General features: G+C 44.6%; 2 protein-coding genes across 2 annotated transcripts; both read right to left on the reverse strand.

Moving 5' to 3' along the window:
- Positions 1 to 6,309: 6,309 nt before the first annotated feature.
- KRTAP29-1 (keratin associated like protein 29-1) lies at positions 6,310 to 7,335 on the reverse strand. Its single transcript, NM_001257309.1, has one exon. The coding sequence runs from the start codon at positions 7,333 to 7,335 to the stop codon at positions 6,310 to 6,312; it is 1,026 nt and encodes a 341-aa protein (NP_001244238.1).
- A 4,848-nt stretch (positions 7,336 to 12,183) lies between these two features.
- Positions 12,184 to 13,793, reverse strand: KRTAP16-1 (keratin associated protein 16-1). The gene has a single exon (NM_001146182.2). The coding sequence runs from the start codon at positions 13,735 to 13,737 to the stop codon at positions 12,184 to 12,186; it is 1,554 nt and encodes a 517-aa protein (NP_001139654.1). The 5' UTR covers positions 13,738 to 13,793.
- Between the last annotated feature and the right edge of the window lie 818 nt (positions 13,794 to 14,611).

The raw sequence follows: 14,611 nt of genomic DNA on the forward strand, positions 1-14,611 counted from the left end.
AAAAATTATATATACAAACAAATTGCCAGCTTGAACAGAGGCATGTCTCACATGGTGGCAGACAAGAGAAGAGAGCTAGTGCAGGGAAACTCCCCTTTTTAAAAACATCAGATCTCGTGAGACTCATTCACTATCACGAGAACAGTGTAGGAAAGACCCACCCTCATAATTCAATCACCTCCCACTGGTTTCCTCCCATGACACATGGGAATTGTGGGAGTTACACTTCAAGATGAGATTTGGGTGAGGACACAGTCAAACCATATCATTAGGTTAGGCTGTAAAGGGACTGTGACTTATATATATATATTATATATATATATATTTTATACTTTATATATATATATTTTATAATATATATTTTATATATTATATATCTATTTTTTATACTTTAAGTTCTAGGGTACATGTGCACAATGCGCAGGTTTGTTACATATGTATACACGTGCCATGTTGGTGTGCTGCACCCATTAACTCGTCATTTACATTAGGTATATCTCCTAACGCTATCCCTCCCCCAACATACCAGGCCCTGGTATGTGATGTTCCCCTTCCTGTGTCCAAGTGTTCTCATTGTTCAAGTCTCACCTTTCTCTTCGCTTCCTCTGGGAGAATCCAGATGCTGTGCTATGAGGACAATCAGCCAGAGTATGGAGAAGCCCATGAGGCAATGAACTGATATCTCTGGCTAACAGTTGGTGTGAACCAGTGGCCTTCCAGTGTCCACATAAATGAGCTTGGAAGTGAATCCTTCTCTAGTTGAGCCATGAGATGACCGCAGCCCCAGCCAACACCTCACCAACCATCTCATAAAAGACCCCAAGCTGTAGGTATCTAGCTAAGCCACATCTAGTTTTCTAACCCACAGAAACAGTGAGATAATAAACTTTGTTGTTTCAGCCACTAAGTTTTGAGATAATTGTTATGCAACAATAGGTAACTAATATAATGAAACAGGTCCATGTATCAAAATGCATAGTTCTTAAAAGCAATAATGAAATTTAAAAAGTAAATTGCATAATTTTACATCACATACATAAATTCTTAAATCTGCAATCCTTCATACTAGGTCTTGTTTAAATACTTTATAAATATAAGATGTTTATATTTTTATATAAATTAACAGTGACTGGGAGAATATACAATAAAATTATGATAGAAGTTATATCTGAGATGAAAAAAGGGAAATAAGACTGAAGAGGGGACTTCAACTTTACAAGCATAATGTTTCATTTCAATTAATTTTTTAAAGATCCAAAGCAGAAGTAAGAAAATGCCAATTTGGAGAGGCAGGTTCTTGTAATATTTTTCTCAAAATTTTCTTGTATTTTTAAAATTGTTCCCTGCCCTGAAAATAAGTGTAAAGAAAGATTTAGTTACATGTTCAGGCTTGGCAGAACATTGCTTATTAGAGGAGATTCAGATGTTTTATGGACAAGCCCTAGCAAACTTAAAAGGAGAAAATACATGCTATGTCATTTAAACTGTTGCCAAGCATGGTTAAAGACACAAAGCTTCTCAACTCATGTTTCACATTTGACATGTTTAGAATGTGAAGTTTGCATGTTGGCAGATGGCCGGTAAACACACTTGCCTATAAAACTGAGAAATCTGTCATTGGGACAACAAAAACTATGAGGTAGATGGGTAAAAAAAAAACTATTATAAAATGAAATTTGAAGTTTCAGGTGTCTTGAGAATCCTGGTATCAATCAACAAATTATTAAAGTTAATATAACTCCTAAACAATGTCTGCATCCTCTTGTAAGAAGCATTCTTGAAAAGTCTATGCAATATGAGATGAGGTGCATCTGCTTCCCAGAGCCATATCCTTCCTCTAGCATGATGGAAATCTCCATGGAAGGTGTGGGAGAGAGAATTTGAACAGGGTGTCCATCAAAATGTCATTTCTGGAAGACATTCTATCCACGGTAATTCCTTTGTGGTGTCAAGTTCCCTCTCTCTCCTTCTTCCTTTTTAAAAAAATTTTCTTTTGGGACCTTAGTTATAAATAATTGAATTATTATCATCTGTGATTTTTGCATGGTCCCTCTCTTATTTATTTTTTATGTACTTATAAATCAGTTAATTTACTTCTTCTTCTCCCTTTACTCCCTTCGTTTCCTATAGGCCACTATGCTATTCTGTCTAATGTATATTCAACGCATATTAAATTTATTTAATGGATTTGTATATATCCTTATAAAGTATTGTTCAGTACACATATACTTTATGTAAATAGCAATCAGTAATATATCTCATTCTGGTTTGTCATTAAGCAGAATTTTTAAAAATCCATCTATGCTACAGTGTGTATATGTAATCTATTGTTATTAATTCCTGCATGATACTCCATGAAGAGGATCACCGAGTTGCCTACCCACTTTCACAGTGTTGGACACCAGCTTTCCTTTGACGTTTTTGCCACCATAGGGATGCTATAGTGAACATCCACATGTACACCTCCCTGAGGACCTGTGTGAGAATTTTCTGGAAATACACACTCAGGTGTTGGATTGCTGGATCATGGAGCATCACTTACATAATTTACATAAATAGTTTCAGATTGTTCTTTAGAGTGGCCAAACAAGCCAACAATCCCATTAGCAATGCAGGAAAATTCCTGTAAATTCCCACTCCCACCAACACTTGGCATTATATAGCACAGGAGTCAGAAAACTATGGCCCATTGATACAGGAGCGGGGCAGGGAAGTGCTGGGAGAAGAAGGGTGGGTCCCTGGTGAGGACTCCACCCCTACTGTGCCCACGGACCTAGGGAACAGGCATTTCTGAATGAATAAGAACAGGCATTTCTGTTTTTGTGCCCAAACGTTGCATTTCCCAAAACCACCCTGGCCCACCACGCCCTCATCCTGTGCCTAGTGGGAAGAGACACAGGCAGCTGGACATCCGAGAGGAGCAAATCGTCAGAAGAGCACACCGACAGGCAGCGGCAGACGCCAGCAGGACGGCAGGCCATCGACAGGGGGAACCATAGTGAGTTTGTCGGGGGCGGGATGAGGGAAGCCTGGCTGAGCAGCCCAACTCCAGGGGAAAACCACCTTCCCACTCCATCCCCCTTCTGGCTCCCCCGTCTGCTGAGAGCTACTTCCACTCAATAAAACCTTGCACTCATTCTCCAAGCCCATGTGTGATCCGATTCCTCCAGTACAACAAGGCAGGAAACCCTGGGATACAGAAAGCCCTCTGTCCTTGCCATAAGGCAGGGGGTCTAATTGAGCTAACTAACACAACCCATCTATGGACGGAGGCTAAACTGAAAGAGTACCCTGTACACACACCCACTGGGGCTTCAGCTGTAAACACTCACCCCTAGACGCTGCCGTGGGGTCAGAGCCCCAAAGCCTGCCCATCTGCATGCTTCCCCTAGAAGTGTGAGCAGTGGGGCACGGAAGAAGCGAGCCACGCCCCCGTTGCACGCCCTGCGAGGGGAACAAGGAAACTCTTCCCGTCTCACCATGAGCCAAACAGAGCCCCAGCCTGTTTTTACAAAGTTTTATTAGAACCCAGCCACACTCATTTGCTTACATATTGTCTATAAATGTAATGATATAATGCAATGATACAACGGCAAAATTCAGTAGTTGCAACAGAGACCATGTGCCCCACAAAGCCTAAATTATGTATATCTGTCCCTTTACAGGATAAGTTTGCTGGGCTCTGATATAGCACTCTATTTTTTGCAAATCTAATACCTGTAAAGTAATATGTAATTGTTATTTTAATTTTGAAATCTCTGAGAAATAATACTTTTGAGAATTCTTTCACAGGCTTACTTAAGGATTCATCTTCCGTGAAGTTCCATTCATGTCTCAAGAGAGGTTTTGCACAGGGTGTCCACCCAAAGATCGTTTCTGGGAGACATTCCATCCATGGCACTTCCTTTGTGATATCAAGTTCCCTCTCTCCCCCTCCTCCTTTTTGTTTCTAATTTTCTTTTTGGACCTCAAAATTAGTCAATCACATTTCTTATTTTATGGCATACTAAAAAGATATCCTTCCAAATCTCTTCCCCATCAGTTCCAGAAGTACAAGAGGCTTCAGTTTTAATCAGTTTGAGAATATTTAGAACCTCACAGAACACATCAACAAACTCACAAGATCATGTAAATAAATGAGCCCTCAGAGGTAGAATAAACTAACTTCTTCGTGTTATAGATTAGCACCCTGGTGTTACATAAGGTCATACAGTAAATAAGTGGCCAGGATGCAACTCAAGCCTTCTCCTTTGAGCCGTGGTCTAGTGCTTTTTCCTCACCACCACCATAGAAGTCCTCCTCTGAGTTGCATTTCCAAGCAGGTCATAAGGCAAATGCCCATACTCTTGTCCTTCAGTGACCTTGATGTCTCATTATTCCCGGGCTCTTTTGGTTAGTTTTCCTTCATCTGTAAGGTTTTTTTTAGAATGTCCCACACATATTGGCAAGACCTATTTAACTACTGAGAACCTCAAATCACAGTGATTGAGAGGACTGGAACGAGAGATGCTCAGCCAGTGACCATCAGGTAAGTTTATGAGCAGATCCTAAGGTCCCTCCTCGGGTTGGGGAGAAGGCCCGATCTGGGAGAAAGTCAGGGCACTGGTCATAAAGACATAAGGACAGAAGTCCAACCATTTAAACTGGGACAGGAGTCATCCAAAGGGCAGGGGGGAACAAGAGGGTGATATCAGCTGGGCCAGTTAGATGGGGAAGGCTAAAATGCTAAAATCAGTCTTTTAGTGCACTTTACTCAGGTTTGGCTAGGCATGTTTTATAGGCAATTGTAAATCATGGAGCAAATAAATCAACCTTAAGTGCAGCCATACAACTAAGTTGAAATGTGGTGTGTGTCTGTGTGTGAGTGTGTGTGTGCATGTATGTGTGTGCATCTGTATCTGAGTGTGTGTGTGTGTACCTGTATGCATCTATATGTGTGTGCATGTGTGTGGGTAGAAAAGGTACTGAAGGCAATACCCATACATAGTTAGAAATAAAAGGAAAATACCCATTAGAAGACTAGAACAGATCTAGCTACTTGAACTGTTGAAATGATAAGCCCACCTATATCTAGGGATTCAAGAAGCATTCAATGCTTCTTGAATTCAATTCAAGAAGAGATTCAGTGCTGACATTAGTCAATTCAACTGCAGGTAGAAATTCTCCACCTGGACCCTTCCATGTTCAGGTGCTAGATTTTGTTCTTATGGCCATCCCCCTCTTTTTTGACCCAGAACCTTCTTTCAAGACTACGACCCTTGTGATTCTAAAACTGGGGATAAAACAATTAATAGTCTCTCTACAGATCCAAAGTATACCTCAGTGACAGAAAAATGTGAACTATGAAGATTTGTTTGCTAGTTACCAAATTATTGCTGCTCACCTACAGGTACACCCTTCATTGCCTGCTCTATGATAATACAAAGGGATCCTATGAATATTTCTCCTTAGCCAGCTGACACAATGTCCCAGGCAGGAGAATCGCTTGAACCCAGGAGGCAGAGGTTGCGGTGGGCCGAGATCACGCTCTTGCACTCCAGCCTGGGCAACAAGAGTGAAACTCTGTGTCAAAAAAAAAAAAAAAAAAAAAAGAATCTTAAATGAATTAACCCTAAGCTATTCTCTATGGCCAATACCTCATGTTTGTTTTCATCTGTGGCTTTCCAGAACCATTTTTGTTGTTGGCTTCCTGTCTACTCACTATAGGGAAAATGAGCCCACTCAGCTCAAAAGAACTCTTGGTGGTGAAAATTTTGGAAGCCAGTGAACTGTTTGCCCTTACTCTCGTCCAGCTGGAGAATCTATAATCCTAGACACTAGCTACCCTTGCAGACCAATGCAGACCCACTGACTTAGATGACTCAGGCTCATTGTGTTCAAATGTGACCTGAAGGAAATCTACATAGAGGTGTGTGTAGGAATGAAAGCACTCCAGGAGTCTTATTTATTATACTTAACCAGTCACATTTTTATTAGCAGCTGGCAGCAACGAGGTCTTCTGAAAGACCAGGCAGCATCAAGAAAGAGAAACAAGAGAGGGTTTGCTAAAGTGAAATGAATTGACATCATCAGGAAATGCAAGCAGCAGTGTGGTAGTCCATGGTTGCTGAAAGGTTATTCTCGGTTAAGAAGGATCTCTTCGTGCCTGGACAAGTTCCCTGGTCAGCACCTGGAGAGAATGTGAAGGTGGAATCAGGGTAAAGTTAGAAAGCAGGCAGCATTTGTACTCGGTGGGAGGCAGGCACCCAGGGATGGCTATGCATTTATAGACAGCCGCAGACCCTCAGAGGAGGTGTGAAGAGGGCTCCATTAACAAAGTGTTGCCTTGCAGAAGCTGGACTCACAGCTGGGTTGGCATGAAGTCGGCAAGCAATTGGAGCCACTACTGGGTGATGTGCCTAAACCAGTCACACAGCAAGCTGATTTGCAGCCACTCTGGTTATAGGAAGGGGGTCCATCACAAGTTGGTTGGCCAGAAATCACAGTGTCACAAGAAGCTGGTTTGCAACAGTTCTTTGTGGAACAAGGGGCCTGGCAGTTAGCCACTGGCTGGTAGATGAAGCATGTGGAAGGAACCAGTTGGCAGTGAGGTGGCTGGCAATGGGAAGGCACACAGCAAGTAGTATTGCAAGAACTGAACACACAAGTCGATGGCTGGCAGGGAACAGGCATGTAGAGGGCTGATTGGCAAGGCTTGAAAATATAGCAGATGGGTTGATAATAAGTTGATTTACAGGGCTGGCCTTCACCACTGACGGGTTGACATGAACTTCCTTGGCACCAAGTTGGTTGGCATGGACTAGCTGTACAGATGGTTGGTAGGCAAGAAGTTTCCGGACAGGAGGTCACTTCAGAGCAGGATGGCTGGCAGGATCCAGCATCACAGCAGACTGATTGGCCACAAGCTGCCTGACATGATCCAGACATGCAGACAGATTCCTGGCAGGAGCTTTGCTGGCAGGGACTGGCATCGCAGCACTTTTCCTGACAACAAGTAGATTCCGAGCAGGATGGCTGACATGAGCTAACCAGACAAGGAGACTGACCAGTGCCAGACTGATAGCAGGCTGCGTGGGAGCACATAGGTTGGCAAACAAAACCCACACAAGACGTTGCTGGAAGGCGGGTAGGTTGACACGAAGCAGGATCACAGCCACTTGGGGCACCAATGGATGGCTGACAGCTTTCTTGGCATGTGACCAGTTGCCACATTCTGCTGTGGCAGGAACTAGGCAAACAGAGAGCATGTCGAAATCCACCTTTAACTGGGTATGTGGTGATGGTGGGCACAGCTGGAATGGCTGTGGTGTTTCCAGGACAACAGCCGTCTGCCATGGTGCTGGTGCTGACCTTGCTGGGAAGTTGCAAGCTCAGTATACCTGCATTGGAAAGACATCCGATACAGAGGGGCTTTTATAGTCCTTCACTAGGGGTGTTGGCACGCCATGCAGCATCTTTCCTTGTTATTGTTTTTACTCATTTGCATGCAAACATCTGATTAGCAGGCTTCAGGAGCCTGGGAGATGTTTCAACTTTGAAAAGGTGTCTGTTGAGTCGGGAGTTTTCTGCGCTGCATTTGGATTCGTTGACACTGCTCCTGCTCTTGGATGAGCTGTCTCTTTTACAGGTTGCTCTCCAGCCTCACTGAAGCAGGCCTTTCCTGGCACTAACCTTTCATCAGGAGGCCTCTGCCAAGCCAGAGTGGCCCTGCTGTTCCTCCAGGAATGCAGCTTTGCACCATTCAATCAGAAATGAAGCCTTGACCCAGTTTGGGGAGAGGATGTCAAGACGGGAAATGGAAAATTAGTCCAAGGAACCCAGGGACACTTAAGTGCCTCTACCTCTTTTTAAAACCTTCCCATTTATCATTCCTGAAACTTGTTTACTAGTACTATTACTAATAATAACAATAGAAATGGCTTTCATTTATTGCATAGTTACTAGATCAAGTCCTTGGCTGCATTTTTCACTGGATCCTCACAATGACTTCAGTAAGTATAATTGTCATCACTATGTTAGAAGTGGCAAAACTAAAAAAAAGTAATAAATAAAGAAGAAACCAGGTTTAAAACAAAGTTAAGATTAAAATATAAAACTTCATTGGCCCTTTTAGGAAGCTTAAAATCTCCCCCAAATTGGTTCCTCTCAAGATTTTTTTAGAACAGAAAAGAAGAAAACAGAAGTGGCAAAACTCATAGAGTTTAAATCATGTTCCCAAAATTATGCAAATGAAAAGGGGTAGAAACAAAATTCAAACCTAGCTTTGTCTGACCACCAAACCCCTGATCTTAACCACCTATTAGACCCCCTGACTTTGGGGAGGCAGGGAGAAGGCGACACTGATATAGTGGCTGCAGGCTGACACCCCTATGGCAACAGACTGGCTCGTGAGCAGGTTGCCCAGGCCCCATCCTGGGGATCCTCCGCCCACTCCAGTGACTGTAATCAGCAGCTAGACCACACTGGTGTGAGTACTTACCTCTACTTATCAATACACTCAAACACAGTCTTTTAATTTTGGAAATTTTTTAAACTACCAAATATTTCATCAGGAAGTATCAAACCCACCCTAGGGCATCAATAGCATATGAATTCTATACAAATAAAAACACGCCAGCAGTGATAATAAAAAAAATCACTGTAAAGTGGTGTTAATGTTAAACCAATCCCTTCCAAGAGGAATTCGTGAGGGACTTTCTTGGCCCTTCTGCTTTTCCTCCGGGCTTGTCCTGGCTCCGCATCACCAACCAGGTCCGGTGTTCTACACCAGCCAACGTTCTGGCCGGTTCACGCTGGAGGCACATGACGGAGTGGAAAGATCACGGTGTGGGGAGCCAGATGGGGCTGGCCTTGATTTCTGGCTCTGCCACTAACTCATTCTGTTGAATATGTTAGCTAATTACCTAAGTCTTCAAAGTATGGCGATTTCATCAACTGCGTTGTCATGTCTCAGGTTAGTTTTTTGTGGGTGTTTGTTTGCTTTGGTTGCTTCACAAATTATTGAAAATACTGAAAACGCTGAAGGGTACTTTGCAAACCCCCAGCTACAAAATGCCTTCTCCTTGGCACCCTCTTCACCTCCATTTTAAAAAGAAGAGAAACATTTTTGATCAGAACAATGTCTGGAAAACCTTCTCCCCTGCCATTGAAATGCCTTTTTCCCCACAGTTGGTTTCTATGTCACACCATGGATCACTTCTTTTGCCCTCCTTCTTGTCTGTATTCATGTTGGCATCTTTCAATCTGCAGGAATCCATGCACTGTGTTTTATTGCTGAATATTTACCCCCAAAGCTCTTCATCTTCCCAGAGGATGTATTTAATACTTTCAGTCTTACCAAATATGTCAATCAAACTGGGAACATGAGCATGTTTGAAAAATCACATCAACTTCAGTCCAATATCCTATACCACTTTTATAGTTTTAAAGCAATCCATTCTACATCCATTTTTCTCTAAGTGATTCTGCTCTTGTTTTCTTTTCTCCTAAAGGAAACTCTTAATAGCAAGAACATCTGTCTTGCTGTAGTTCAAGGCACTAAAAACACCTAGTGTATCAACAAAGACACCTGTGACCACATTGAGACATATCATGATCCATACAGAACCTAGGCTTTGGAAAGAACTGGGTTTTAGTCATTTGCATGTTACTTATTAGCCATGACAATCGTGAATTTTATCACTCCCTTTATATATATGTGTTTGTGTGTGTACATATGTGTATAAATGCATGTATACTCATACATATGTGTGTCTGTGGTTTTTGAACAATACACACATATATGTTTGAGTGTGTGTATATATATACACACATTATATTAATATACATAAATATATACACACACGTATGGTTTTCTGGAGCTTGTTTATATCAATCAACACTATGTTAGTAAGATTCATCCATGCTATTGCATGTCGCCATTTTCCAGTCATCTTCACAGTATAATATCCCATTGGGTGAATATACCACAATTTAATTGTCCATTGATGGGCACTTGGATTGTTTGTCCTTCGAATTCTGCATCTTATGTATAGGTGAAAAAATAGGAGAGAATACATATTACTTCAAAGAATTGCTGTAATCCATATGAAATGCTTAGTCCAGTGCTTGGCACAGAGGTTCAAAACCCTAGCCAACTCCTGTGTGTGTGTGTGTGTGTGTGTGTGTGTGTGTGTTTAGACAGAATCTCTCTCTGTCGCCCAGGCTGGAGTGCAGTGAAGTGATCTTGGCTCACTGCAACCTCCTTCCAGATTCAAGCAATTCTCCTGCCTCAGCCTCCTAGTAGCTGGGACTACAGGCGTGCGCCACCATGACCAGCTAATTTTTGTATTTTTAGTAGAGATGCGGTTTCACCACGTTGGCCAGGCTGGTCTCGAACTCCTGACCTCAGGTGATTCACCCACCTCGGCCTCCCGAAGTGCTGGGATTATAGGCTTTAGCCACAGCATCCGGCTGGCCAACTCCCCTCTTGACTCTGGAAGGAGACAATGATAAATCCCAATGGCTTGATGAGACAGTAACTCCAACACCAATGTGATTAAGTTTTGCTTTTGACTTTCTCCCTCTGCCATAGTCTGACCCAGTGGTTCTCAAACAGGGGTGATTTTTGCACTCCCAGGCAATGTTTGGCAATGTCTGGAGACATTTGTGATCATCACCCTCAAAGGATGCTACTAGAATCTGGTTCATAGAGGCCAGGGATGCTGCTTAACATCCTATAATTCACAGGACAGCCTTTACAACAAAGAATCGCCCAGCCCAAAATGTCAATAATGCTGAAGTTGAGAAGCCCTGGTCGACCCTCACACTGTGCTCATGATGACTCAAGCTGCCCCTTGAGGACAAGGAATAGGCCTCCATTCTGTGCACTAAGTGTAGGGAGTGACTGCTTTGAAGAGACTCTGTCCTTGGATTTTGTAAGATACAGAATTTATCCTATGAGTGTCTTGGAGGAAGTAGGAGAACATAAACAAAATTCTCACACAAGAAATCCAAGTTACCCAACCTTCTTTGTTGTAAGTATGATCCCTGATCCCCACTTGTTTTTCTTCCTGTGGACCCAAAAACAATTGGCTTCCTTTCCTCCCCAGTCTCTCTATATCCAGAACCATGTTCTTCCATTGAGTTCTCCACACCAACCAAGGCCAGAGGGATGTTCCAAAACCAGTGCTCTTCCTGTCACCTCCTTGCATGCAGCCCCTTGATGCTTTCATGTCAGCCCTGCATCAAACCGAAATACCTCTGTCTAGCATGCAAGACCCCACATAGACAGATCACTGTCTACGACCTGACCTCATGGCTCATTCCTCAAAGAACAACTCTCCCATGCCTCACCTAATGAACAATTTGCCCTCAAGCCCCATTCACTTGTACAAGTCTCCTTTGCCTAGAAAGTTTTTCCTTTCCTGTTTGTAACTGGTTAATTCCTACTCATACTGAAAGACTCGATGCCAGTATCACATTCTCCAATAATTCTTTCCTTGTTCCCCAACTATGCTCTGCTGAGTTCATGGTGCTCTATGCTTATCTCCAAGTACTTGGCACAAAGGAATGTCATAATTGTCTTGCTGCCCACCAGAGAGTGAGTTTCTTGAGAACAAAGACTGAGACTTCTTATGTTTATTCTTAGAGCTAAACACAGTCCCTGGCACCTAGCTGCTGTCTAATAATGCCAGAGGGATGGGTGGGTGGATGGATGGTTGAATGGAGCTGCTGTTAAAGAAGAAGCAAGTCACTGATGAGACTATGGCATTAATGGAAGAGCAAGGAGAACAGCAAGTTGCTTCAGCTTAGCCACCTTTATTGGACAGTTACATATTTTACCTGATTGGAGAAGTCCCTAAGGAACACAAGCATGCATAGCAAGGGAGCACATACATGATGACAGAAAAAACTACATGCAGGAAAGAGACCCGAGATGATGTGGCAAAGCAGCTCTTCTCAGCTTAATCGTAGCAGAAGACAAGAACCTGGAATGTCTCCCTCTCACTGTCCAGAAGGCCTTCATTTAAGTGATCAGGATACTGACATTTCTGATGAGTTCTTTGAGGGGTAAGCCGATTGTGAGTAACAATGCAGAAAGAAAGAGCTCCTAGCTAAGTCATAATGAGCTTTGGGGAGGACAGTGCAGTTTTGTCTCTAGCTGGTGGCTTGACTTGCAAGAATTGGGGGGCTGAAGCCAATTTAGCAGTTGGCAGGCTTGCTGGCAGCAGGCTGAGCTGCTGCGGCCTCACGGGTGGTTGGGCTGATGGGTTTGGCTTCAGTGGGCTGGCAGGGAGCCTCTTCTGAGACATCCACCTTGCAGGGGGTTGTGTCAACACAATCCAGTTGGCTGGAAGTGGATTTTTTGCAATCCCGTTTGCAAGAGTCAGACTCAGTGCAAGATGGGCGGAAGTAGACTGGGCGGCAAGAGTAGGAAGTGACACAGGCTGGGCGGCGCAGGATGGAGTAGCATGGGCGATAGCAGGCAGGACGGTAGGAGATGGATGTCATGTATGGCTGCCTATAGGTGAGGAGTCCAGAGCAGATTGGGCGGCAGATCGGACGGGAGACCGGGCGGTAGGAAATCGTAGCACTGCAAGGCCGTTTGCTGGAACTGGGTATGTAGAAAGTCCTAGGACAAGTTGGTCGGCAGATGGCAGATGCAGAAGACCCTGGACTGCAGGAAAGAGGTCGGCAGGAGGTAGATGGGCAGGAAACTGGCTCAGGGCAGACAGAAGGACAGCGCTTGACTACATAGCAAGTAGGTTGGCATGGACTGGACACACAGACAGCTGGTGAGCAGGGGCTGGGCTCAGAGCAGATGGGTTGGCAGATACTGGAGACACAACAAGAAGGCTCTTGGCAAGTGCTGGGGACAGAAGGTGGCTCGCACGAGCTCTGAACACAGCAGACAGGGCGGAGGCAAACTGGCTCACAGACCAGAGCCACACACGTAGCTGGCTGGCAGATGCTAGACTCTGAGCAACTTGGCTCACAAGGGCTGGGGTCACAGCAGACAGCCTGGCAGCTACTGGTCACAGAGCAGGTAGGTGTCGGGCACACCGGCTGACAGCAGGAAGGCTCACAGACCACAGGTTGGCAGGAACTAGGCAGGGTGCAGACAGCTGAACAGCAGCTGGGCTCACAGACAACTGGCTGGCAGCAGCTGGATTTGCAGAGGACAGGCTGGCAGGAAGTGGGCACACAGAGGACTGGTTGGCAGGAAGTGGCTTCAGAGCCTACAGGCTGGCAGCAGCTGCTCACGGAGCAAGAAGGCTCACAAATAGCAGGCTCACAGCACACAGGTTGAGCACAGCTGCTCACGGAACAAGAAGGCTCACAAACGGTGGCCTCAAAGCACACAGGTTGGCAGCAGTTGCTCACTGAGCAAGAAGGCTCACAGATGGTGGCCTCGAAGCACACAGGTTGGTAGCAGTTGCTCACAGAGCAAGAAGGCTCACAGGTGGTGGCCTCACAGCACACGGGTTGGCAGCCGCTGCTCACGGAGCAAGAAGGCTCACAAATGACAGGATCACAGCACAGGGGTTGGGCACAGCTACTCACAGGACAGGAGGGCTGACGGCACTGTGGCCCACAGCTGGATGATCCACAGCTGTCTTGACAAGTCACCAGCTGCCATGTCTGGCTCTGGCAGGAACTGGGCAGGCAGATGGGGCCTCCACAGCTCACCTCAGTGGAGCAGAGAGAGGTGGCTGGCACGGAGAAGCATTTCCTAGAAGAGCAACTGCCAGACATGGTGGAGGTGGCCGTGCTTCCTTGTGCTGAGTGCTGAGAGGTTGCTGCCTCACTGTGACAGCTCCCTGAGGCCCTCACTTTTATACCCCCTCACTGGCGTGTTCTGTTTGGGACTCCTGCATCTTTTCCTCATTGTTGTTTGGGCCAGTTTGCAGAGGAACATCTTATTATACCACCGTTTGTTGATCTGGAAGCTGTTTATCTACCCGTAAAGAAGGTGTTTATTTATTGATGTGCTAAATTTGGAATCCTCAGAGCTACAGGTAGTCTTGGAAGAAGCATCCTCACCTCCAAACTGGATAATCTATATTTCTGAGCATTGTGAACAGGGAAAGAAGAATGAAACTTATGATTTATCCACCTTCTAGTCTTCCATACAGGGCCCTGGGTTGGATTCAGAGGATGCCACAGGAATAAGACCTATTCACCCATTCTCTTGGATCTCGCCTTCTAGTGGGCAGATAAGCATGCAGACAAACTCACTGCAATACAATAATAAGTTCAACAATAGACATACAGAGATTAATTGAGAGGAGAGGTGATGAACTCAGTTGGGAAAAGAACAACTGGGCTGGATTTTAAATGACTGCACCTTACAGCAATGATCTTGCTTAAAACCACCAGCAATCTCATGAGGCAGAGATTTTTCTCCACCATTAGAAATGAATAAATGGTCCAGGAACCATGGCTCACGCCTGTAATCCCAGCACTTTGGGAGGCTGAGGCAGGCAGATCACCTGAAGTCAGAAGTTCGAGACCAGATTGGCCAACATGGCAAAAACCCATCTCCACTAAAAATATAAAAAATAGCCAGGCATGGTGGCACACACCTGTAATCCCAAATGCTTGGGAGGCTAAGGCAGGAGAATCACTT

Source organism: Homo sapiens, chromosome 17 (assembly GCF_000001405.40).
Source record: "Homo sapiens chromosome 17, GRCh38.p14 Primary Assembly".
In the NCBI taxonomy this organism is placed as follows: domain Eukaryota; kingdom Metazoa; phylum Chordata; class Mammalia; order Primates; family Hominidae; genus Homo; species Homo sapiens.

Excerpts from the sequence above, each read along its gene's own strand:
- KRTAP16-1 (NM_001146182.2), bottom strand. The coding sequence starts at position 13,737 with ATGTCTGGCAGTTGCTCTTCTAGGAAATGCTTCTCCGTGCCAGCCACC.
- KRTAP29-1 (NM_001257309.1), bottom strand. The coding sequence starts at position 7,335 with ATGGCAGACGGCTGTTGTCCTGGAAACACCACAGCCATTCCAGCTGTG.